A 23,639-nucleotide genomic window follows, 5' to 3' on the forward strand; every position below is an offset into this window, starting at 1 on the left:
TGATTGTACCCAGGCATTTCCCCCTGGGAGCACCAAAGGGAAGAAGGTAATTTTTCGGTCTTTTGGAAGCTGTGCCCTGGTGCCAAGATGCCTCAAGCCAAAACCACACAGAGCAGCCTGCCTGACAGATGGGCCCAGTAGCCTTTATCAAGCTCTTAGGCTCTTATGAGCTTCCCTACTTGCGAATTAAACATAAATTTATCCTTTGCGGCTCTTTCATAAAAACACTGGCTCATGAGTGTTTCCATTTGTCTTTTTACGGATCTTACAAGTCAGTCCAAACTGTTTGCAGAATAACAGCATTTCCTAAGTCTTTCTGAGGTAGGAAGGCCAAAAAGAATGCAATTGCCCAAGACGAACAGGACACCCTGCTCACTTAATGGACTCCCAAAGGCCTCCTTTACTGGGGCGGCGCCCTGGAGCAAGGAGTCTTGCAGGAACTTCTGTGTGGCCTTGGCTCCCCTGAGACCCAGTGTGTTCCATTAGAGGTAGATGTTGTTTTTCCCTCACTCCCGGGTGGTACAGACACCACCACATTGGGCCATCAGGCACAAACCTGGACTCTGCCACTATCTGCACATGTCATTTGGAGGGGGAACTCAGCCTCCCTGAGTTTGTTTTCTTACCTGAATCTGGCAAAAAGAAAAAAAAAAAATCAATCATACATCAGATATTGATTAAACACTGTGACAATCCAGACAGAATCAGTTTTTAAGGAAACATAGTGTCTCTTCCTCTAGGAGCTCATGATAAAGACTGGAATATACAGCATGCCAGAGTGGTATGCGTGGGTCAGGGACGGGCATTTTACAGAGGGCCCAGGGACGACCTGAAAAAGGAGGTGATTTGTGATTAAAGACCTGAAGCAGGGGAAGGAGGGAGCGCTGTGGACATCTGGGGAAAGAGCCCTCCAAGGGAAGGAATGACCCTGACAGGAACAGGCTGGGTGTGTGGGAGAAACAGTGTGATCAGAGCAGGGAGAAGGAGAGGCAGTAGGAGGAGATGAGGTCAGAGAGACAATTAGGGGACAAGATCATCTAGGGAAGGGGTTGGCACACTATAGCCCTGCCATCCATTTTTTAAAATAGTTTTATGAGAACCACAACCATGTCCTTTGGTTTACATATTGTCTATGGCTACTTTCAAACTACCCCAGTAGTGGTGAGTAGTTGTGACACGGACCATTTAGCCCACAAAGCCTAAAATATTTACTATCCAGCCCTGTACAGAAAAGGTTTACCAACCTCTGCCTTGAAGAAATAGGGGCTAATTTTTCTCCATGGTAGGGAGTCTGGAGTAGGCAGTGCAGGGTTGGTGCAGAAGCTCCATGATGTTAAGAAGGATCCAGACACCTTTGATCTTTATGCTCTGCCAGCCTCAGCATGCGGACATGTTGCTTTATGATCTCAACATGGCTGCCAGTGCTCCAGACATTACACATCATGTCCTCATTTGAGACAGGCAGGCAGGAGAGACATCTGTTCTTTCTACCAGAAAAGCAAAAGTTATCTTCACCATCCCTCAGATCTCTCCTCCCCCAGGACACCTTCCCCCATCTCTGCGTCCAGAAGTAGGTCGTATGGCCACTTCTAGCTTCACTGAAAAAAAGCTATGAAAAGGATTGTCAAGACTTAGACAGCTGTTTTGTTTTTTTTAACTGTAACCCACAGTAAGAAGCACACATAACTGAAACATAAACAATGCAAACAAAAAGTTCCACAAAACACAACTTATATTTACTATTTGTGCTGTACACTGGTATTTTCCCTTGCATTTTTGAAGTACTAGTCACATCATCAACTAAATTAATTTCATGACCCACTATTGGGTTGTAAGTAGAGTATGAAAAATACAAGTGGGCATGAGCCATAACTAGGGGCTGGCATGTTGCTGCTACAGACAAGTGGGTATTTCTCTCTCCTTTCCTTCCCTCCCTCCCTCTCTCTTTCCTCTCTTCCCCATTCCCTCTTTCCTCCCTCCCTCCTTCCTTCCCTCCTTTCCTTCCTTCCTTCCCTCCTTTCCTTCTTTCCTTCCTTCCTTCCGTCCTTCCTTCCTTCCTCCCTCCCTCTTTCCCTTTCTTCCTTCCTTCCTTCCTTTTTGTCCTTTTCCTTCTTTCCTATCTTTCTTTTTTCCAAAGAAGGAAATGGACATTGGCTGGCAACCAACAGTATCTGTAGCCTCCACCATAAGTGAGCTGGAGACCACACCCAGTTCTACTGAACCCTGAAAGAAAAGGTGACCCCTCCTTCTGAGGGGTCTGACAATGGACCCTCCCCTTCTGAGGGGAGGACGCTGACAATGGACACCTGTGTCTGATGTAAAATGCAAGCACTCACAGCCATAAAAGAGAATAAAATCGTGTCCTTTGCAGCAGGATGGATGTGGCTGGATGCCATTATCCTAAGCGAACTAATGCAGAAATAGAAAAGCAAACACCACATGTTCTCGCTTACAAGCAAAAGAGCTAAATATCGGGTTCACCTAGACATAAAGATAAAAACAATAGACACTGGGGACTTCAAAAGTGGGAGGGAGACAGCGGGGCGAGGGGTGAAAAACTTCCTATTGGGTACTATGCTCACCATCTGGGTGACAGGATCAATCCCAAACCTCAGTACCACACAATGTACAATTGTAACAAACCCGCACGTGTATCCCCTAAATTTAAAATAAAAATGGAAATTTTAAAAAATGCAAGCAGTAACACCAACTGCCCAGGAGTGCTGGGGGAATTGCATGGGATCCCCAATGTAAAGCACTAGCATAGTGTCTGAGCCCACAATGGGTGCACAGGACACATGGGGTTGCTGTCCCAAACCCAGTCCTCACTCAGAGCCAGTCATGGCCCTGTGAACAGCATTAATTAGGTCAGAGAGAATGATTCACACTCGAGTTCTGGAGAGCCCAGGGAAACTGTTATGTCACCCTGGTGCTATGTTTACTTCTCCTATCAGGAGTGATTAAATTCTTAGGATCTCATGCTCAGAGGTTGACAGTTATATTGAATTTTACCCACTTTTAAAAAACCTTTGGAAGCACCCGATTATTTGTCTCAGCTTTGATGAGGGCTGTGGAAGAGCAAATGTGTCATGACAAGTCACCAACCACAGGGAGCCTCAGAGCTGTCAAAGGATGGGCCATTCTCCAAAAATTCAAGCAAACGCAGAAACGGGAGGGCCCCTGGACTGGGTATCTTCAGTCCTGTCACTTTTTGCAGGTGGGGGTTCCAACATAAGTCATACAGCAGCCATACAAGCATTAGCACAGCCCCTCTAAGTCGAAGTTCAGGGACCCATGAGACTCAAATCCCAGGCTGATTTTGGTGCATATGGCCACCTGCACTTTCTAGAAGATCCATATCAGATTCTAAAATGGCCATGAGACCCTAAAAATATTAGGAAACGCACACTGAATGAAACTAAAATGATTTATGTTAGGGGTGGGAGAGAACAGGTCCAGAGGTCAGAGCTGGGAATCGTGAGGTAAAGCAGAAATTGCAAATGTTTTCCATCAACCCCATCCCCCACCTTGACACCCCCACACCCCAGAAACACTGAACTGTTCCCAGTTCCCCAAATGGCTTGTGGTTTTCTGTCCTCTCTGCCTCCGTGCTGGCAAATATTCGTCCAGGAGGCAGTGACTGGGAGAGAAAGACTAACTTCTTATTCACCAGATCGGATTTCTTAAACAATAAGGAGTTCTAAGAGGCCATGCCAAGCAAACGGCCAGACTGTACAAAGGTGCCCCTTGAGCAATAAATAGCAAATGCTCTGGGCTTTACTGATAAGCCTCCCCAGACTCCAAGCCCCACCAGGCATGCAGACAAGTGCCTGCAGTGATTGCAGCGCCTGCGCAGCGGCCCTTGTTGGAAGTCCAGGAGTCCGCGCTACCCCGCAAAGTCCCTGGCCGCTGCCCGCACACCGAACCTCTCGGGGCTGAGTCGGGCTGCTTTCTCCTCGCGTCCCGGGGCGCCCTCGGGAACTCGGGAGCGCGCGGCGAGCTGAACAATGGCCTGGGGACACCTGGCAGGTCGCAGGCCCCAAATCTTCCCCGCCGCCCCTAGGCCACCGCCCTGCACCCGGAACCTACCGGCGTTCCCAGAGCGGGGCGGACGGGGCGGTGCCATTGGCCGGTGCGGAGTGAGGGGCGTGCTCGGGGCGGGACGGAGAGACCGGGGCGGCACCTTTGGCCGTGCCGGGCGAGAGGCGGGGAGCGGGGCGGGGCGAGGGGCGAGGGGCGGGGCGAGGGGCGGGCCTGGCCCCGAGCAGCTGAAGCCTGGGGTCAGCAGGCGCTGCGGGCGCAGCTCCGGTGCAAGCGAGGACACGACACATGCAGTGGCTTCTGGACTGCGCGATGACTGGACGGTGAGTGATGAACGAGCAGGAGAGTGCTTGGGCGTCCATGGAGCATCCCCTCCGACCCAGGACTGCCACCAGGCAGGGACGCTGAAGCCTGGGCACTTGTGCCCTTCGGCCGCAGCGCGCAGGGTCCCTCCCCCGCCAGCCTGGCGCATTGCGGGCCTCGGGCTCATTGCTGAGAGGGGGCACTGCGCCTGGCACCTCTGTTAAGCAATTTAGGGGCTACAACCTGAGCAAGACAGATGAGCCCGGCCACTGGCTACACCTTTTTTGTTCACCTTGTCCTTAACCAGTTTCCTAGAAGCACTGATCCTAGAGTTGGGGAGAGAGCCTAGAGGCCTCTGGCACAACTCTGATTTCACTGATGGAAATCGAACGCCAAGATAATAGCAGCAGGGGGGGTCTGTCTCACAATCGCTGTCTGTAGAGGGCTCGCCTTGCTCTGGGCCAAGTGCTTTAACACGATATGCCTCTTACTCCTCACAGCAAGTGAGAGTCCTACTTTCGTTATCCCCTTTTCAGATGTGAAAACTGAGGCTTAAAGAGTTATAAAATTGTCCACCTTTACCGGATGAGTTGGTGATGGAGCCAGGATTTGAACCCAGGGCTTGTTGTGCCCCTGAGTCTCTTGCTCTTCACCCTTAGTCTCCGAAGGTCAGCCTGCCTGCTGCCCTGCTCTTCTGGGCTCCTGACTCCGGTCCCATCCTGCACTTCCCACTTCCAAAACATGCCTCAGTGTTTTCATTAACCTGGCACGGCGGAGGGAGGGAGGCCTCCTCTCACACCAGAATCAGTGCCCAGGCCAGGGCCAGCACTTTCTTAAAACACAGTAAGGACAGCTTCAGGAGCCCCATTTCACATAGGAATTAAATAAGGTCGCACAGCAAATAAGGGCTGGGCTTCTGGAATTTGAACCCAAGCAGGTTAGACTCCAAAGCTATGCTTTGCACTCACAGAGGAGCCCCTCGCTGGCTTTGCTGTAGTTTAACTGCCCACAGTACTAAGGTGTCAATCAGGATTTGTTGCCAGAAACCATTTTTTTTTAAGTTAGAAGTGAATTGGTGAAGTAACAGGTAAATGTAGACCATCCTGCCTTCTGTTCCTCTGTGTGGTTCCTTAGCTACTTCTGCCAGGACAGCAGGTTAGGGGAGAAGACAGGAAGGGAGAGGGTCAGAGGAGAAAGAGGAAGGGAGGGAAGAGGAGAGATGAAACTCATTAAACTTAGGTTAAAAAAATGCTGGCCGGAAATTGTCATGGGCTGTTTCAGCACTTTGTCAGTGTATGTGAAGGCTGTTGTCATTAGTTCTAGCCATAATTCTCTCAGTGTGTAGTGCTGGTGATTTGACAACAAAAAGGTTGATGCTACAGATTAAAGTGTCTGTCTGAAACTCAGGAGATTGGGTTGTATTTCCACCATGAAGCTCCAGTGGGTAGCCTGGAGGTCGAGAACAGAATCAAGGTCCAGGGTCGCCCTGGGTCAGGACCAAGTGGACCATGACAGATAACAAAGAACATGAACGAAACTTGGGTGTGTGTCAGAGTTCAGATTCTGGACGTGCAAAGCCTCAAAGGGGAGACCTAACTAGGGGATCTGCCAGAAAGCCCTCTGCCCTGGGCCCCTGGGGTCTGGGGCCTGGTTTCAGGTGTCAGCTCAGACTCTCTCCTCATTCATGGCCACTCCTGCAGGCAGGCCTCACATTCCCATCTCTGGGGCTCCACAGTCTCTCCAGAGCCCCCAACTCCCAGTGTCAATAAGAATAGTAATGGGAGCCTCTTTTCATTATGGGTGAGCCCAACACAAGGCCCATCTTACAGGTCTCCTCATTCGTCTTCACAGAAGTCATCGAGGATTATAGTTATTTAATTGATGAGGAGCCCAAGGTTCAGAGAGGGAACTGGACTTGCTTAAGGTAACAGAGCCAGGCAGTCACAGAGCAGAGCTTTAAACCCAGAGCCTTGCAAAGGCTAGGTGGTTATTCTCTCACAGAGTATGTTTGGGGAAATTGTTTTAAAATAAAGAAAATCAAATAAGAAGTGGCTGCACTTCCTAAAGCTTCAACAGTTTTCTTATTTTTGTAAAAGAGAAACTTGTAGTTCCCGGGGTCTCCTTTTCTGGCTGTCCCACCTTCTGCCCTAGGATATACTGTTGAGGAAGAGGCCCGGAACCCCCTCCCTTTGCCCTGCCTGACCTTGGGAAGCAGGGGTGGGGTGTCATTGAGCCCCATAGCTGCAGTGCTGGGAAGAGCCCTGAAGACTCTCTATCAGCTGCCACAACAGCTCTGGCTAAACTGATGCCCAAGAGACGGCGCAACACGCTAGGATCACAGGCCAAGTTAATGCCACAGCAAAACTCACATGCAAGGCTCTACAACGTTCCTCTGCCTCCTCTTTCTTGCTGTGACAGGTTTCAGCAGAGATTCTAAACCTAAGATCTGGGGATCTGGGAGTACATGGACAAGAGCTGTCTCATCTCCCTGCAGTGATATGCAAATTGTGTGTGTGTTTGCACGTGGATGCAGATTGCAACAACATGCACATACATGCATTTTCTGGGGAGAGTGCACTAAGCTTTCAAGAGACTCCAAAGGACTCTATGACCCAAAAGATTCTGGGACCCTTTTGTCTCACAGGGCCCTTATGTCCCCAGCAGTGACATGTGGCACACAGGCCTGGGGCAGTGGACAGCACAGGTGAGGGCAGCCGTAGAGAGCCTCCAGAGCAGCCCTGCAGCAGCAGGCACCCAGAGGGGTCTGCCCCTCTGCATTGCACTCCCAGCCCCAGGCAATCGGGATATTGGACAGTGCCCATTTTGAGCACGTTTGGCCCGAAAACCATAGCTAAGAAGATCTTTGTTTCTGTGGATCTTCTCTTCCATAGGCTAGAGGTGAGCCTGGTTGGTGGGGAAGTTGAGGAGTGGTTCAGGGGGTTCCAGGAGCAGAGAATGTATGTTTAAGGTGTAAGGGGGGAGCAGGAGGACTGGAAATGGTTTTCTTGTCCCAAATTGCTTTGCCTTGAAACAAGGGCAGAAGCCAGAAGTCTTGCCCACTGGGAAGGCTGGTCTGCGATCTACATGGCTGCTCAGGGCCAGGCTCTCAGAGGAAGGGGAGCTGTATCAGGGAGGCCTGGATGCTGGACTGGACTCAGAGAGACCTGTCAGTGAGAGGCCAGAACCGCAGCGGGGAGTAAAGGTGAGCTGGGCCTGTGTGGTCAGTCCAGGGCAAGGCGGGAGTGGAGGTGGAGGGGAGCTCTGTGCCCGCCTCTCCTGGACTCCCCTGGTCTCCATCACCTCCACCTGGACAGTGCAGAGTCTTCTGGGGCAGGGAGGAGTGAGTTGAGCCAGAGGGATGATGGCGGGAGTGGAGAGGAGGGGTCTGGTGATTGGAACTGGGCAGCAGGAGGGGACAGCAGTGTGGAAGGAGGTGGGAGCAGCAGCTGCTGAGTCGCCGCCTGCCATCTACAACCAGACAGCCGGCTCTCACCACAAAAATGCTTGGCTGAGGGTACCCCCTCAGAGGCACCTGGTTTCGGCAGACGCTGCAACTTCTTCACTGGCCAGGCTCCTGCCATTTGCTGGCGAACAGGTGCTGGGAGGGGCCTTTTAAAGCTTCATTGTCCTCTGTGCCCTGCTGCCGTTGTGGCTGGCAATTCGAATGTGGTAGCCACAGACTGCAGTCAGGAACTTAGTCCCCCCAGGAATGCCGTCAGCGTGGCCTGCACCTGCTCTGTGGCCTGCACTTGCTGTCCTCCACCAGCGGGAGCAGCTCAGGCTCCCAGCTGTGCCCCACACACTTGTCCTCCTTTCTTTTGCTTCCCAGGTCACTTTCGTTATGACCTATTTGATTTAAATCACGCTGAAATAAGAAAATAAAAATCACAATTTCAGGAAATGTGAAAACAGAGGTAACCAAGCTCTCAGACTTCACAGATATGCTTAGAACATTTTAATTTGGATGCCTGTACGTTTTCCCTTTTGCCAAGTGAGGACACCACATCTGTGTTGGCCATGTTTTATGTAAGAAGGGACACTGTCAGAAGGAAAAGCAGGCAGCACAGTCTTAAAATAAAAGGCTTTCAAGTGGACTCAATTTCGTGTCACGAAAGCCTCACTTCACTCGGCATCTTCTGTTCCTTTTGCCACTGGCCTGTAGGAATTGGGCCCCGGGGGTGACTGAAAGAATCACAGTCACCTTCTTCTGTAATAACTTTCCCCACAAACACAAAAAAGGAAAGACGGCCCATGCCTAGCAGCTCTAAAGCCCTCGGCGGCCTTTGTCCCTCAGTAGTGACAGCAGACTGTCTCTCTCTGCACGGCTGGCAGAGCAGCTGCTGAAGTGGAAAGGGAGAACAACTCACTGCTTGTTCACTGGGACAGGTAGCCATGGCTGGCATGCCGCCTAGGGGGCCTCCTCTGGGGTACAGACAGCCCTGGCTGCAGCTGATCACTCTGGTTGGGGACAGAGTGTCCTCCAGCCTGGGAAACAGGCGTGGAGGCCTGAGCTATGTCCTGGGACCTGGGGGAGGGGAACGGGCCCAGACAAAGAAAGCTGTACTTTCCCAGCAGAATGGCACGGCTTGGAGGAGGGGAGAGCCTGCTGGCCGACTTGGCCTGTCCAGCTGCATCTGTCACTCTGTGGTTTTTTGAGCCTGAGCCTGGGTGGCAGGCCAGCCCCAGCCCATCCTCTCCTGACTCCTGCTGCCACCCATGCAGCCTCGCTTTAATCCATTTGTGTATTGGGCTTCTACCTAGGATCTAATTTCAAGATAAGGTTGTGCTGTTTATAAAAGACTGAAAAATACTCCAGCAGAGATTCTCAAAGGCCCCACCCAGTGCACTTGGAGATTCAATGCAAAAGGCTGTTCCAGGAAAATGCTCCAAATAGAGAGATGGCTCCCTTTCCTCTCCTGTTGGGTGTGCGTGTTCCCCCTTGCAGTTTGCTGCTGCCACAGCTGTCTTTCAGACACCCCTTAGGTACTCATGCAGTTTCCTGTAGATGTGATGTCAAAACGATTAAATTCATCAAAATGAATGAAAGTCTGGTAAAGGGGATAGGGCGCAAGCACAGTGTTGAGATCTGCAGTGGAATTCTGTGAGTGATCCTGGAGCTCAGGAAAAACAGGTCTTCTTGCGGTGTTGGCTCTGAGAACCAGAGAGACCAAGTGACTTTTGTGGGAGCCATAGGCTCTTGGCCCCTTAAAGTTTCACTAAAAATCACAGACATGAGGCAGATTGATTAATAGGAGAAAAGTCATACACATGTACTTAAGGTGCATGCATGGGAGCCTTCAGAATGATGGTCCAGCTTCCCAGTGAGTAACAGAGACTTATATACCATTTTGAGGTTACAGAAAGAATGGGGCTTAGATTCTGGTGAAACAGGCTATGGAAGGAGGAGAGGCTTGGCTAGTGAAAGTGACCTTGTTATGTAGATGAAGCCTCCCTCAAAGAGACTTTTAAAGGTGTGGATTCTCAGTCTCTCCTGGATGTGGGGAAAGATCTGGAAAGGGGAGGGGGCCTGGCTGCATTAATGGAGATTCTCTACAGATGCAAATTTTCCCACTGAAGACACTCTGCTAGCCACTTCTTTCAGGATGGGCAAGTGGCAGCCATTTAAGAATACGTCAAAGAAATATATGTTGGGGATAAAATATTTTCATCTCCTTCCCTTGCTTAGGGCCATGAAGCTAATGAGTGCTGGAGGACACAGAAATGTGTGCCTCTCTCAAAGGAGAGACTCTCTTTGTGTGGAGCCAAGGTTCCCACCCTGTAAGGCTCAGGACCCAGCCCAGCAAGCTGGAAAAACCTCCTTTTGCTGCAGTGGGCCCTGAGCCACCTCCCTTAGCTTTGCTCGCTGACCCCCCTGCCCTCCCCTGGGATGGTGTGCCCCGTTCTCTGCCCCAGCTGTTTACCCTACAAGCCCACCTTGCCCTTTATCCCTTCACTTTGCCATCTGCAGCCTAGGACTCTCCTTTACTTTCCTCCTGGTCTGTCTCCTCTGAGCAGGTGCCCCCAGCTGGTGCCATTCAGTCATGGCCGGAGACACTCAACACGTTGGTTGTGTCCTATAAATAAGCAGGCGTGCAGGGGAAAAGCACTCCTGAAGGCCAGTGAGGGAGAACCATGCTTTTCAAGTAGTATTACCCAGAGCTCTAGAAGATGAGGCTCTCTGCCACCACCACCTCACTGTCAACCACGGCAATCCCCTTTAATCTGTTTTGCATACATTTTCTATTTGAACAAAGAGTTCCACAGTTAAGAAAATTTCAAACCCATTGGAGGTCAATATTCTTGTTGTACAGATGGGAAAATTAAGGCCCAGAGAGGAGAAGGCATGCAACGAAGCACCCCAGAGCTCTTTAGGAAGCATTTTCTATGAATAAGTAACCACTGCCTGACTTATGGGAAATTCCACTTCTAAGTGTTCCTACTACATATGGCAAAATGAACTTCTTCCCCACACACTATAGGAGACCGGAAGTAAATGTAAATCATGCCGTGTCGTGAATCAGAAGTCACAAACTGGAGCCTCACTGTCCAGTGGACTAGGAGAGGTCCCCAAACACTGGTGGGACTTCGACCCCAGCTGATGTCCAGGCTCTTGACTCCTTGAATTCCTTCCCATATGAGTCAGAAAATAGTGAAAGTACACACTCAAGAAGGGAGAGTGTGCAAGGGGGTTGGGAGCTGCTTCCTTTATGGGTTTCTTTAACCAAGGGGTGCAATATCCAAGAAGATTCCTGGAAAAAGGTGGAACTTTCTTGAAACTGTGGTGCCACCCATTTTTACATGAAATATGGGTGTTCTGGAACTGTCATGGTGCCTGTGGGTGTGTAATTTAGCATCTCAGAGAGTTGCCTGGTTAATGAGCGTATAGTGAGGTCCTAGAAGAAACCTAGGTCGAATCCAGCACCACGTTGGTTTCAGTTGGTCTTAGCCAGCTTGGCCCACACTCTGATTTTTTTAGAGTCTTATGACCCCTAGCTTCTTATGACCCTTATTTTAACAGTTTCCTTTTGCTGGTCATGTGAAATGGCTGCCTAGAATTTTCTATTCTCCTGTGACCATCTGTATTATTCCTGTCTCACCACTAGGTGTATCTGTCTTGCAAAGATGTTTAGTTTATTTATAAACATATTTAAATACAAAATATTACATTAAATATTTGTTGTTTTGATTGGATTATGTATTGCATGAGACTTGGTCTGGGTTATGCTGCAGTAACAAATCCCTGATACACCAGTGGCTTGTCACGGCAGAGGTTTATTTCTCCCTCTCAGTCCATATCCAGTGTGGGTTGGCAGACAGTTCTGGTCCACAGTCACTCAGGGACCCAGGCTGACCATCGAGTAGCTGCACATGGCTTGAAACACATGGCTTTCTGGGTCACCACGGTGGAGACAGGAGAACTGGAGGGTTGTGCACTGGCTCTTAAAGCTGCTGGCCTGGAAGGGACCCACAACACTTTTGTTCGCAGCTCAGTGGTCAGAATGAGGCCCACAGCCCCAGCTAGCTGCAGAGGGCCGGGGTGGTGAGCGACCACACGGGCATTCCAGGGACAGTGCATGCCTCTGCCAGCCAGCCACCTTTCAGTAGTGAAATATAGCCCAGAAAAATCCAGATTCCTGGCTTCTTATGAAACGCCAAAAGAGTTGCCCCGTCGAAGAAGGAATGTGCCCCCCATTCCCCATGGACCCCGTGACGAATGTCCCTCAGCGGAGTCACCTCCGTGGCCATTGGAGACTTTTATATTATTTATTCCTGCTGTATGTGCACAGCTTTGGAAGAGTAGACTTGGAGGGAGTCTAGAAGCTTCTTGTATTTATTCAGCAATTTAACAACCATGTATGGACTTCCTGCGATGTGCCAGGCTTATGCTTGGGGCTGGAAACTAGTGGTAAAGCACCCCCCGCCCTCACCCCCACCATGTTCCCGTTCTCTTGGGAGGGAAGTCTAAACAAGAGCTGGGTTCTGCAGGGCCCAGTGGGGAAATGGGAAGAGACGATGGGGCAGAGAGGGGCTGCCCCAACATGGACTGGGGCTTTTCTGGCAAGGGTTTCCAGGAGGAGCTAACATCAGAAGACAGGAGTAGTTCTGGGTTCTGAACAGAGAACAGCACTACAAAAGCCCTAAGGGAAAAAAAGCATAGGGCTCCTTAGGGGAGCCGTGAACTTGCTCAGTGAGCCCAGGGCTTAGAGCAGGAAGTTGGGGTGGAAGCTGGATACAGAGGAAGGCAAGAGAAAAAAACACTGCCTGTAATTTTGGGGTAAATCCAGCCCTTCCTGTAATGAGTTTGCTGAAAGCAAGACTTCGTTATGCTGAAGACCCACAGAAGCAGTGTGGGCTAAGAAACCCAGTTCCATGGCTCACCCTGGGCTGCACTAGGCTTCTGCCTTGCAAGTATATGAGGAACTACCCAGAGAGGGGGGCAGATCACTTTTTCCATGGGCAAGCGGAGGTGCCGAGGAACTGAAACTTTATGTTGAAATCCCTGTTGCCTGGCCAAGAAAAATGCAGCAATAAGTCCCCAGCTCCAGGCCTTGCTGCTGGGGGCCTGACATCTCTCCAGGCCCTGAGGTGCCTAACTCTGGAGCAAGGCAGAGGGGAGGTATGGATAGGATGATCCTGAGGTCATCAGGAAGCCCACTCCCTCAAATCCTTCCCCTTCTCCAGGCCAACTGTATTTCCCTGCCTCTTGCATCACAGGCTCATGCAGGGCTGATGCTAGCACAGAGGGCAGGTTTGTCACATTTGTGGGTGTCAAGCAAGGGGGGAGAGAGCAAACTGGACTGGTCCAAGTGAGTGCCTGAGGAGCTGGGCATTCTGCAGGGATGGGCTCTGAGGACATTAATAAATACGACAGCAGGTGGAGCTGAGCTTGAGCCCCCCGCCCCCCGTGGCATTTGCACACACTCAGGTCGGGAAGACATGATGGGTTTGTGTGAACAGATGTGGGGGAGTTGTGAATGAGCAGAGCTCTGTCGTGGGCAGGATGTGGTGTGGCCCCAGGCTGTGCCCCCTCCCAATGTGTCCTAACACCCCTAGCCCTGAGCTGCAACTTGGGAGATGGAAGGTGGAGGCAAGGTCAGCACTGGAGTATGTGTGTGTGTGAGTGTGTGTCTGTGAGATTGTGAGTGTTTGTGTATGTGTGTGTGTGTGTGCATGTGAGCATGTGTGTATGTGTTAAGTGTGAGTGTGTGTGTTGAGTGTGAATGTATGTGTGTGTGCATGTGATTGTGTATGCGTGTGTTTTTGTGTGTGTGTGTGTGTGTGTATGTATGTGTGTGTGAAGCTTTACCTCCCTGCCTAGCATGTAGGAGGCCTTGATAAGAGTCCTTGGCCACATTGACATGGGGGAGAGAGAGGAACAGGAAGCTGTGCAGATGCCAACAGGTTCGAGAAAGCTCTGGTGGATTTACTGTCCGTGAAAGAAACCTGGGGAGGGCAGGAGCGGCTCCTCAAACCAATCAAGGCTGTGTGTGGAAAGAGGGAATAGTATGTGTGTGGAACAGTGTGTGTGAACCGCGTGTGTGTGGATCCACTAATGATCCTGTGGGCTTGAGATTACCTTGTTGCACAGACGAGGAAAGGAAGGTTTGGGAGTTTAAGTCACTGCCCGTGATCAATATAGAGAAGGTACTAAGAGACCAGAATCAGGGGTCCAAATGCTTGTGCTGGAACAGTGGCTTTTCTGCTTACTTGCTGGTAATCTTGGGCAAAGTGCTTAAGCTCTTGTCCCTGTCTTCTCATCTGTAAAATGGGAATATGGTGATACTCACCTCACAATATCGTTGTAGGGACTGGAGGAGATAACTCAGAGAAGATGCCAACCATTTACAGCACATAGGGAACACAGTGCCGACTAACCCACTGCCAGGACAGCCAGTGATGGGCCACTGCCTGGCTGAGCGGGAAGGCAGGAGAGAGGCCCAGGGTAGCTCTGGAGGATTGCAGGAGCAACCGAGGCAGAAGCCAGTAGTCAGGCTGTCCCTGCCAAGGGAAGGGAGCATGTGATCTAAAATGCTTAGGAGATGGATCTGGATTCCTGGGGATTATGGAGAGTCTTCTGGGGTGGGCGGCTGAAAGGACCAGTGTCACTGGCTCAGCATGACCTTGCCCAACCAAGGCAGCTTGACTGACATGTGGCCATGTGGGTCTGGGCCAGACCCTTTCAGCCGCAGCCACCTTGTGCCAAGGCGGTGTGATGCCAAGGCCGACGGTGTCTGTGCCAGGGCTGCGGGTGTTGGGTGCTGCACTGGCCGGCACTCCTCTGGCTCACCTGTCTGTCCACCCTTCCTTGTCTTCCCAGCAAGTAACTTCTAGGTCTGCAGACAAGAGGAAGAGAAGATGAAGGAAGACTGTCTGCCGAGTTCTCACGTGCCCATCAGTGACAGCAAGTCCATTCAGAAGTAAGCCTTGGTGTGCAGGTTGGGCGGGGGAGTCTTCACATTTGCCATCCCCCTCATCCTGGGCAGCCTTTAGGTGGAGGGGTTCTGAGCACTTGTTCAGAGATCTGATGGGGTGCCCTGGGGGACAGTGATGGGGTGCTTCTTTTTGAGCCTGTCCAATAGGGGATCCCCAAGCTACACATGACCATGGCTGGGAGGCATGGGCAATAGAAAAGAGGCTCCAGATGGCAGGCACTTTATACGAAATAGGTGTGTACAGGGCCTCATTATAACTTTTACATTGATTGCATGTTGACAAATAGTAATTTAGATATATTGAGTTCAATAAAATGTGTTATTAATGCTAATTTCACCTGTTTCATTTTCCCCTCTGTATTAGGCCATTCTTGTGTTGCTATAAAGAAATACCTGAAGCTGGGTAATTTACAAAGAAAAGAGATTTAGTTGGCTCACGGTTCTGGAGGCTTTACAAGAAGTGTGGTGCTGGCATCTGCTCGGCTTCCAGGGAGGCCTCAAGGAGCCTCCAGTCATGTTGGAAGGCGAACGGGGAGCAGGCACTTCACATGGCGAAAGCAGGAGCAAGAGAGAGGGAGTGGAGGGTGGTGCCACACACTTTTAAATGACCAGACCTCGTGTGAACTCAGAGCAAAAGCTCACTTATCACCACGGGGATGGCCCAAGCCACTCATGAGGGATCTGCTCCCATGATCCAAACACCTCCCACCTGGCCCCACCTCCAACACTGGGAATTACAATTCCACATGAGATTTGGGTGGGGACACACATCCAAACCATATCACCTCCTAACATGTACTAGAAGATTGAAATTACCAGTGTGGCTCACATCCCACGTCTGCTGGCCCCACAGCCCCACAGAGCCCAGCTTGGGTTCAGGCAGCTGTCCAGGCCTCCCCTTCCTCCAACATTAGCCAGGGCTGTGGCTTTCCCTTCGGGAAGGGAGACAGCGTTGAGGGAAAGTGGCTTACTGCAGACTTCAGGGCCTTACTCACAGGGCCATCACCTTCCACTGCGCCTTTGGAAAGTCAGGGTGGGGAAGAAGCAGGCACCCCTCAGGGTGGCCCGCAGCAGCCACAGCAGGCCTTGTAGGAAGTGATATGGGGAAAAGCAAGAGGCTGTACAATGCCAAAAGCAAGTCCAGGGCATTTACTGTGAGGAAGCAACGCAGGTGGAGGGCAGGGAGGCTGCCAGGGCCTTACCTGTGATAGTGAAAGTGTCGGCACCCTGGACATCCTGGACCAGACGCAGGCCTGTCCCGTGAGTCTCGCCTCCTCCTCAGCCCGACCCCCATGCCCCCCACCAGGGCCATGTGCAGAACCATCCGGGTGCATTGCGATGGCAGTCTGGTCTCCTCTGGTTATGCCTGGCCGGCGAGAAGGGTGCTGTCACACTCCTGTTACAAATGAGGAAACAGAGGCCAGGGAAGCCAAAGGCCAGAAGCTGAGGCCCTGCCACACCCTAGGAGTACATGTGTGTCTTTCCCTTTTTAGGTCGGAGCTCTTAGGCCTGCTGAAAACCTACAACTGCTACCATGAGGGCAAGAGCTTCCAGCTGAGACACCGTGAGGTGAGCCTGTTGCTCTTGTTCATGGGGTCACCATGTACCCTGGGAGGCCCTGCCTGATACCTGTTGTTTCAGGGTAATGATGAAGACCATCCCCTTCACTCTCAGCAGTGACCTAGTTTGGACAATAAGTTATATGGTCACTCTCATCACTCACCTCTGACCCTGAGCCAGGGACCAGGTTACCAGCAGCCAGGTCATCTCCCTTGCAGAGGGTCAGTGCATCCCTTCCAGAGTTCCCAGTGGCAGAAATCACCTTGGGGGTCTTCCCCCTTTCCCCTTCCCCCGAGACCTTTGTCCATGTGAACTGCTGCCGAGAACAGGTCCGTCCTCAGCCCATCACACCATTCAGCGGACAAGAGGAGTCAGTCCCTCTCTGTTCCCTGCTGGTCCCGCCACATATCTGCAGGGTCTCACCTGTGGCCCCTGGTCCCCAGTACTCTCATTTGTAAAGTGGGGTGTGGGGCTACACAGGGGCTTATAGGCTCAGATGCTCACAGCAGGCAGCGCAGGTGTGGGGAGTGGGTCTCCACTCAAGGAGTCAGCCGCCCATCAGATCAAACCATCCCTACTGTGCAGGACCGTGGGCCTGGTGCAGCCAGACCCTTTCTGATTTTTCAGAAGAGGATAGATTATCTGGAATTTCATGAGGAATTTCCCAAATCTTGAAACATCATGTGGGCTAAATACATGTCTGATGCCAAACACAGCCCTTGGGCACTGGCTGGACTCTGCAGGGCCTAGGCTTGGGGGACCACCCACTGGGCAGGGCAAGTGGAGCCCTAGTCTTGCGGTCATTCACATCCTCTGATGTTTCATGCGGGAATCTTGGTTGGGCTTTGTGGCCCTATCTTGGTCTAATTCAACATATTTGTACCGCCTAATGGCAAGTCTTATCGTGGTGAGGCTGTTTTTTGGGGGGTTCTGCAGTTGAGATTGGGTTGGCTCCCGGACTTTCTCTCCTCACTAGTCTTGGCTCACTAGTCCTAGTCCTCCCTCTTCAGTAACTCAGACACCCTTCTATAGCTCCCAGGCCAGAGCTAGCCCAGGCATCCAGGCAACTCTGGGCAGCTGGGGATTGCCAGACAGTGGCAGATCAGAGGGCCGGCTGGAACCTGCTGCCAGACGGCCTCAGCCAGCCCCTGAGGCGTCCCCTCGGCTGGCCAGGCCAGACATCACACCCTTCAGGAGCTTCTGGCTCCTGGTCCAAGCTGTGCTGGGCTGCCTGTGACCACCAGGCATGGTACAAACCTCACACTCTGCCTCCTTGACCTGCCCAGGCTGCGAGGCCCCACAGCTTGCTCCCCTCCCTCTCCTGCCATCCCACCTCCTCATGCTCACTTCTGTGACACCTGTCTCACCCTGCCTGCCCCCATCCTGCACTCCCCAGGCCGGGCACCCTGTGGGTCCCTGTGCAGAGTTGGTGGGTGACTTAAGCAGCAGGTGTAGGCCTGGAGAGAGTTGGGGTGAGTCCTCGGTCCTGAGCTCCAGTGTGCTGGGTAGAGGGAGGCATTGGGGAGAGGGTGATGGCACCACAGGGATTTCCACCTGTGCTGTTAACACACGCCACTTCATATCTTCTGGTGGAGGCCTGGGGTGTGGTCACTGCTGTTCTTCAGCTCTGGCTGTTCAGGGATTGATCTAAATCCCAGGTGGCTTTCCACAGGTGGTCCAAGCACCAGCTGCCCTGGGAACTGGTTAGATATGCAAATTCCTACCACGCCCCTCTCCCAGCCTGCTGAACCGAAAACACTTAGTCTTCCCGTCCAAGTTTTAAGGAGCCCTCCAGGGCATTCTGGTGGAAGGTCAAGTTTGAAAACCACTAGTAAGAGCTTAGTTTTGGCACTCGGGATTCCCCAAGATAATCCCCTCTGTAGGAACAGTTGTCGGGGGCAGGGGCGCGGGAGCGGGAAGCCCCAAGAGCCTCCACCCTGCGTTTGTGGTTTGTGTGTGTTGGTGTATGCTGCGGGACAGCCCACATAGAGAAGTAGGGGACTCTCGGGCTGGGAAGAGGTGTTCTTGACAGCCCTTAATGATAGAAAGTTAACCCACTAGGGGGATTTTCCTGTCCCTAACGCTGAAGAAAGTGTAAGGGTTTGACCCGGTCTCCATGGAGTCAGAAAGTACCTTTCAGGAAAATTCTGTAGCCTTAACAGCCCAGGGTACCGGTACCGGCCTGAAGAAGTGTGTGTTTTTGCTGGGTCGCAATTACCACATAAGACGAGGCTTTAGGCTGTGACACTGATAGGCACAACTGGTCCCTGGGGCACCAAGCCCCTCCAGGTCTCACTGCCACCCTGTGATGCACCCACCACGACCTCCTGGGCCACTGGGCACTTGCTGCAGGGGCAGGGCCATCCCAGGCCAGTCTCTCCTCAGGCACCACAGGCCCCAAGGGCTGGGCAGACAAGAGGAACAGACACTTCCCCAGAGAACCTCCAATGCACCAGGCACTTTGCCTCTCCTTTGTTTAATATAAGGTGATATAGGAATGATTATTTTCCAGGCAAAGAGATGGAGGCTCCCAGAGTTTAAGTCTCTAGTCCAAGGTCACATTGCAGTAAATGAAAGGTGCTGGCCATGGCCCCAAGCTCACAGCCACTTACAAAACAGCAATACCGTTTCCATTAGGCTTTGGAGGTCTCCACCCAGTATCAGTGAACAGGTCTCAGGGACACAGGGTGCTGTTTGTTGCCCTTGAGCCCCAAGCTAAGGGGCTCTCAGGCTGGCGAAGGGCTCACCACCCGGGGCGCGCTCCCAGAGCCGCCTGAAAGAGACCCCCCCGTGTTGTCACTGCCCCTCACCCGCAGCACCGGCAGCCTTAGCAGTACGGTTTGGGGTGCCTTCTCCTCCACTGTCTCATCCCACTTCTCCGAAGGTGGGCAGGGCCACGCTCTGGGGCCAGCGTCACGCCCTGGGACCAGCGGCTCCTTGTGAGCCTTCTCCCCGCTTCCGAGGGGCTAGAGGAGGGACGCCATCTCTGGAGGCTGAGGCGCCGACTTCCTGTATCATGAACCTCGCCTTTGGGATAATTTTGCTTGTATTACAACAAAAAGCCTGAGCAACGGGGAACAATCTGTGCCTTTTGAAGATGGCAAAGGGCTTTAGCCAGGCTGGCTGGTATCTCAAAAGAAAAAAGGACCGCCCGGAAATGTCCTTGTGTAAACCCATGGCTCTGGACAAGCAAGTGAGCCCCAGGCGGCAGGACCTTTTCTGGGGACTGTGTGCCGGCCCCGCCCGCCTGGGGCGCGGCGCCGAGGCTCCGGGGCGCCCCCTGGTGACCGCGGGCGCGCTCCACATCCAGTCCCGCTCCTCGGCCCAGGGACCCCTCAGCAATGAGAGAAACGGAAGGGGCTTCCCCTGGTCCGGGGGCTCCGTCTCTCCCAGGGGTGCGGAAAACCAGCATCCCGCCTTGAGAGAGTTGCCCCGTCCCCTCTCCGAAGGCCTGGCAGACCACTGGCCCCTGGAGTGACTGGCCAGCCCCACGAACATCTGTTTTCTGGGAGCCGCAAAGCGCTTCCCAGCCTGCCCGCTCTGGGCAGTGCCTTGTGTCCCACTCACTCCCTTCTTCGCCTCCCATCCCCACCTTCCACCCCCACCCCCACTCCCCTCTCCACCTCCCACCCCCACCCCCACTTCCCTCTCCATTCCCTTCTCCAGTCCCCTCTCCACCCCCAGCCCCACTCCCCTCTCCATTCCCACCCCCACCTCCACTCCCCTCTCTACCTCCCTTTCCACTCTCCCCACCCCCACCCCAGTGGCAAGAAGGAAGGAGAATGTAACTGCTCTACAAGGGCCCCACCAGGAGGCTTAGCTTGAAGGGAAAGGAATTCCCCTGGGCCTCTCTGCAGGAGCTTGGGACACTGCCAGAAGCCCCAACCACAAACCTGTATTCTACTGGGAGGGAGCGCCTTCCAAAGGTGCCATTGACCTCTTTCACACAGCTGGGTATTAGTGAGGAAGCCCGGGGATGGTCTCCTCAAACTGCCAGACCTCCCCAGATGCAGCGAGGTGGCTTCTGAGCATAGGGGAGTCTGCTGACCTCATCCTAGTTGCCGGACTCTCCCTCTGACCCCGTTTCATGATGCTTTGCAGAAGGGGCTGTAGTGAGGCTGGGCCCAGCAAGCCCGGACCTCAACCCCTCTGCCTTGGTGGGTGGGCCCTCTGGATCTCTCCCGAGGATGATGATTGGCTAAAGGCTGCCCCGGCTAAAGGCTGCCCCACACGTTTGCCCAAAGTCAGGGACCTGCAGGTTTGAGACCACCACAGAGACACAGTGGGCTGTGACAGATACAAACATTTGTCTACAGTGCTCATAAATGCAGCTCCAAGTTCACATGCGCAGATTCCCAGCCCTTGCAGGGTGTGAAGAACATTGCTGATGTCCCCATTTTATAGATAAGGAAACTGGGTAATTGCTTGTCTGAAACTTTTTCCTTTTAATATGGTTTACATTCTATCTCCAGAGAAAACACACTTAACAGAAGACAGAAAACATTTAACAAATCCAAAGCAATTAAAAATAGCCACAAAAAAAGAGAATAACCTAGACTGACAGCTCACAGAGCAAGGAGGTGGCAGAGACCTGCCCAGGTGAGCTTGGCTGTTGCCCCCAGCTCAATCTTCCTCCTCTCCTCTCTCTGTCCCTTCACCTCTGATCAGTCCCAGCCTGATTCCCGTTCCCTGATGCCTCACCTTCTTGCTGCCAGATGCCTCTAGGAACTAGGGTCCTTCAGACTCCAGATGCCCTGACCTGGGCCTTAGGACATCTTGACTTCCCCAGTGGACAGCTGGACAGTGCCCTGCTCTCACCCACAGCTGGGACCCTGACCATGCCATGAGGCCCCTGTGTGGAAGTGGTGTAGGGGTGGGGATGGTAGCACTGAGTGGTACAGATTCTATCTTGGCCCTCATCATGGGGGAACTCTCCCAATGCCACCACAGGACGTATGAGTTGTAGCCAGCAGAGTGCCCCAGTGGTGCCAGGTGACAGTCCCCCGGAATACATTAGTGCATTTGCTAAGACTCCATGTGTTCTCTTGGGCCTCACAGAACATGGGCTTTGAGGGTGGGAGCCAAGAGGCAGACTTGGGAGTGCCCGAGGCCTTGTTCTGAAACACCTGGGGGGCTGACACCCCCACTACCCTCACACCCCTACCACCAGTTTCCCCACCAGCGATGATGGTAGCTACTCAGCCAGTGGGCTCCTATATGCGGTTACACGTCAGAATGGCCTGGGAGGCAGGTGCCAGTAATTATCCCTATATTACCCATGAGAAACTGAGGAACACAGATGTTAAGTAAGTTGCTCAAGGTGATCAGCCAGCAAGGGTCAGAGCGAACGGGATTGGTAACATCTCCTCATGTGAAACAGGCTGTTATCATATTCAGAGGGGGTCGGTCTCACTGTGAACTGCCCAAGCAGGGGCCTCTGCAGAAAAGCATTTCCCTTTCAGAGACCTGCCAGGGGCAGTGACCACCATGGAGGAGACGAGAGGAGATGCAGACCCAGCATGCTCTCTACAGAAGCCTTTACTGGGGAGGGGTCAGAGTTCATGGATCACCGGGAGGTGCGAGTAGAGTGTTCTGAGGACACTGCTGGGGCGGGGGCGGTGGCGGGAGGCCATGGCTTGGGCAGACTGCCCAAAAGTCCAGCTTCTTAGGTCAGAGCTCTGCTGCCCATCCTGCGGTGGTCTTGCCAGGGAATGCCCAGGCATCCTGGCTTCACAGAGCCTCCCTCTGGGGGCCCCCATGGGCTTGCTGCTGTCCATCTGTCTATGTGGACCCCAGAGGCCAGCAGAGGGGCCAGTCCTCCTTGGCAGGTCCCTCTGGCTTGGCTGCTTTTCCTGGGACTCCCCAAAAAGCCAGTCCAGGGGGTCCACAGTATCAGCCATGGGCAGTGTGGGCTGCTGGCCACTGAAACGTGCGGTGATGTCTCGCAGGGACACAGCAGGGCGGCCCTTCCGGCAGGCCTGGGCTGGCCTGTGGGGTGGCCTGGGTTGGCCCTGGGCCGTGGCCTTGTCCAGCACAGAGGTGGGCTGTGCCAGTCGAGATATAGACCTCACGTAGTCATCCAGGCTAGGAGAGGGTGGGGGCTCCTGTCCAGGACCCCCAAGCAGCATCTCCTCCGTGGTCTCCCGAATTGTGGGCAGATGGGCCACGGAGAGCAGAAGCCGGGACCTCATCACTCTGGCGAGAGGAGGTGGCAACCTGTTGGGAAACAGAAGCCTGGTGGTGAGGGCCTGCCATGCGTCCCACCGCCCCTCAGCGTCACCACACTCCTCTGGGGCTGCCTGTAGGAATCCGGTGCCCTGAGAGCAATTTGAAGTCTACAGAGCCCAGACCAGAGCTCCGACTGCTGGGATCTTTTCTTCCTGTTCAGGTTAAAAACCCCAAAGGCTTAAGATTTTATCATTATCGTTTCAGAATGTGCACAGATAAGAGAACCTAACCTAACAAACACTGGTCAGAGGAAGGCTGGGTTTAAAACCAGGATCGGCCACGCACTGACCATGGGACCTTTGGCAAGGCCACCTCTCCAGGCCTCCACTTACCCATCCATAAAACAGGGTTATAAATACCCCTGGCCGGGATGTTGTAGGAAATGCATGAAATAACCCCTGAATCCCTTTATAAATGCAAAGCCCTCTACAGACAGCCCTGGTCTCTAACCCATAGGGAGGCTGTGCAAGTTCAGGCTGGGAATTGCCCTCAAAAATAAACAAAGCCCTTGTGTTTTGTCTCAAACCCAAGGGCAGCTGCTCTCTCTTACCTGGAGCTGAGGAGGTCTGGGGGTGGCAGGAGAATGGATGAGCAGGGACAGTCCAGTCCAAAGGAAGCCCCTGGGAAGCTTGGGGGCCGAAGGGTGGAGGGTCCGGCAGGGGGTCCAGCGTGGGGTCGCTGGGAGGAGGACAGTGCACTGAGTCTCACAGTCCACCGTAGCAGGCTCTTCCCTGAGCAGTGTGAAGAACCTTCGCAGGCAAGCTGCTTTTATACCTTCCCAGCAGCTATCAATCACTGTCACGAGGGCCAAAAATAGCCTGCTCGGAAGGCTGTCTTAGGAAAACAGCTTGGTGGGCGGGGCCTGGCCCAGCTGCCAGCTTGGAGGTGTTTTTCTGCCTGTAGGAGGCTGGGGAATGTTTACGCTGCAGGGCAGGAAAGGGGTGGGTTCACTGCTGGTCAAGTAGGGGCACTGGGAGAGGGAGGGGTTCCACTGGGCCCTCACAGGTAGCCCCAGGGCCACCCCTGCCCCAAAGCTTGTTTCCCACTCTGTGTTACACCACCCCATCATGACTC

At 53.0% G+C, this 23,639-nt stretch overlaps 2 protein-coding genes and 2 long non-coding RNA genes across 4 annotated transcripts in view, besides 13 other annotated features; 1 reads left to right on the top strand and 3 right to left on the bottom strand.

Moving 5' to 3' along the window:
- Positions 1–4,187, bottom strand: part of TMEM72-AS1 (TMEM72 antisense RNA 1) — a 148,666-nt gene extending 144,479 nt beyond the window's left edge. The window contains exon 1 of the long non-coding RNA NR_033842.1: positions 4,090–4,187. This is a non-coding gene — a long non-coding RNA (TMEM72 antisense RNA 1). The remainder of the gene's footprint in view (positions 1–4,089) is intronic.
- Positions 3,979–4,273: an enhancer, noted in NCBI's record as "tiled region #11970; K562 Activating DNase matched - State 4:PromP". NCBI's record gives its function as "activates a minimal TATA promoter and a strong SV40 promoter by Sharpr-MPRA in K562 cells {active_cell/tissue: K562}" and the evidence as "EXISTENCE:reporter gene assay evidence [ECO:0000049][PMID:27701403]".
- Positions 4,051–4,270: a silencer, noted in NCBI's record as "silent region_2341". NCBI's record gives its function as "represses an Ori minimal core promoter by ATAC-STARR-seq in GM12878 lymphoblastoid cells {active_cell/tissue: GM12878}" and the evidence as "EXISTENCE:reporter gene assay evidence [ECO:0000049][PMID:35858748]".
- Positions 4,300–23,639, top strand: part of RASSF4 (Ras association domain family member 4) — a 36,090-nt gene continuing 16,750 nt past the window's right edge. The window contains exons 1-3 of the mRNA NM_032023.4: positions 4,300–4,364; positions 14,663–14,762; positions 16,271–16,346. Coding sequence (NP_114412.2) covers positions 14,701–14,762; positions 16,271–16,346 — 138 coding nt within the window. The 5' untranslated portion in view covers positions 4,300–4,364; positions 14,663–14,700. The remainder of the gene's footprint in view (positions 4,365–14,662; positions 14,763–16,270; positions 16,347–23,639) is intronic.
- Positions 8,758–8,837: an enhancer, noted in NCBI's record as "active region_3315". NCBI's record gives its function as "activates an Ori minimal core promoter by ATAC-STARR-seq in GM12878 lymphoblastoid cells {active_cell/tissue: GM12878}" and the evidence as "EXISTENCE:reporter gene assay evidence [ECO:0000049][PMID:35858748]".
- Positions 8,848–8,907: an enhancer, noted in NCBI's record as "active region_3316". NCBI's record gives its function as "activates an Ori minimal core promoter by ATAC-STARR-seq in GM12878 lymphoblastoid cells {active_cell/tissue: GM12878}" and the evidence as "EXISTENCE:reporter gene assay evidence [ECO:0000049][PMID:35858748]".
- Positions 9,028–9,127: an enhancer, noted in NCBI's record as "active region_3317". NCBI's record gives its function as "activates an Ori minimal core promoter by ATAC-STARR-seq in GM12878 lymphoblastoid cells {active_cell/tissue: GM12878}" and the evidence as "EXISTENCE:reporter gene assay evidence [ECO:0000049][PMID:35858748]".
- Positions 10,499–10,768: an enhancer, noted in NCBI's record as "active region_3318". NCBI's record gives its function as "activates an Ori minimal core promoter by ATAC-STARR-seq in GM12878 lymphoblastoid cells {active_cell/tissue: GM12878}" and the evidence as "EXISTENCE:reporter gene assay evidence [ECO:0000049][PMID:35858748]".
- Positions 10,779–11,073: an enhancer, noted in NCBI's record as "tiled region #2327; HepG2 Activating DNase matched - State 5:Enh, and K562 Activating non-DNase unmatched - State 3:PromF". NCBI's record gives its function as "activates a minimal TATA promoter and a strong SV40 promoter by Sharpr-MPRA in HepG2 cells, with weaker activation in K562 cells {active_cell/tissue: HepG2 | K562}" and the evidence as "EXISTENCE:reporter gene assay evidence [ECO:0000049][PMID:27701403]".
- On the bottom strand, positions 11,597–16,173 carry LOC105378281 (uncharacterized). Its single transcript, XR_945915.4, has 2 exons — positions 14,633–16,173; positions 11,597–14,343 (listed from the first exon to the last, which is right to left on the bottom strand). It is a non-coding gene; the product is annotated as an uncharacterized LOC105378281 (long non-coding RNA).
- Positions 17,023–17,685: an enhancer, noted in NCBI's record as "H3K27ac-H3K4me1 hESC enhancer chr10:45467973-45468635 (GRCh37/hg19 assembly coordinates)". NCBI's record gives its function as "activates a minimal SCP1, AML or CMV promoter by ChIP-STARR-seq in primed H9 embryonic stem cells {active_cell/tissue: H9 hESC(primed)}" and the evidence as "EXISTENCE:reporter gene assay evidence [ECO:0000049][PMID:30033119]".
- Positions 17,686–18,347: an enhancer, noted in NCBI's record as "H3K27ac-H3K4me1 hESC enhancer chr10:45468636-45469297 (GRCh37/hg19 assembly coordinates)". NCBI's record gives its function as "activates a minimal SCP1, AML or CMV promoter by ChIP-STARR-seq in primed H9 embryonic stem cells {active_cell/tissue: H9 hESC(primed)}" and the evidence as "EXISTENCE:reporter gene assay evidence [ECO:0000049][PMID:30033119]".
- Positions 19,297–19,446: an enhancer, noted in NCBI's record as "active region_3319". NCBI's record gives its function as "activates an Ori minimal core promoter by ATAC-STARR-seq in GM12878 lymphoblastoid cells {active_cell/tissue: GM12878}" and the evidence as "EXISTENCE:reporter gene assay evidence [ECO:0000049][PMID:35858748]".
- Positions 19,507–19,726: a silencer, noted in NCBI's record as "silent region_2342". NCBI's record gives its function as "represses an Ori minimal core promoter by ATAC-STARR-seq in GM12878 lymphoblastoid cells {active_cell/tissue: GM12878}" and the evidence as "EXISTENCE:reporter gene assay evidence [ECO:0000049][PMID:35858748]".
- Positions 19,984–20,687: an enhancer, noted in NCBI's record as "H3K4me1 hESC enhancer chr10:45470934-45471637 (GRCh37/hg19 assembly coordinates)". NCBI's record gives its function as "activates a minimal SCP1, AML or CMV promoter by ChIP-STARR-seq in primed H9 embryonic stem cells {active_cell/tissue: H9 hESC(primed)}" and the evidence as "EXISTENCE:reporter gene assay evidence [ECO:0000049][PMID:30033119]".
- Positions 20,626–23,307, bottom strand: DEPP1 (DEPP autophagy regulator 1). Its single transcript, NM_007021.4, has 2 exons — positions 23,116–23,307; positions 20,626–22,553 (listed from the first exon to the last, which is right to left on the bottom strand). The coding sequence occupies exon 2, from the start codon at positions 22,526–22,528 to the stop codon at positions 21,890–21,892; it is 639 nt and encodes a 212-aa protein (NP_008952.1). The 5' UTR covers positions 22,529–22,553; positions 23,116–23,307; the 3' UTR covers positions 20,626–21,889.
- Positions 23,279–23,573: an enhancer, noted in NCBI's record as "tiled region #8316; HepG2 Activating DNase unmatched - State 1:Tss, and K562 Activating DNase unmatched - State 1:Tss". NCBI's record gives its function as "activates a minimal TATA promoter and a strong SV40 promoter by Sharpr-MPRA in HepG2 and K562 cells {active_cell/tissue: HepG2 | K562}" and the evidence as "EXISTENCE:reporter gene assay evidence [ECO:0000049][PMID:27701403]".

The sequence above is a fragment of the Homo sapiens genome, chromosome 10 (genome assembly GCF_000001405.40).
Source record: "Homo sapiens chromosome 10, GRCh38.p14 Primary Assembly".
Classification (NCBI taxonomy): Eukaryota; Metazoa; Chordata; class Mammalia; order Primates; family Hominidae; genus Homo; species Homo sapiens.

Coding starts and splice junctions, on each gene's coding strand:
- DEPP1 (NM_007021.4), bottom strand. CDS start 22,528: ATGAGGTCCCGGCTTCTGCTCTCCGTGGCCCATCTGCCCACAATTCGG.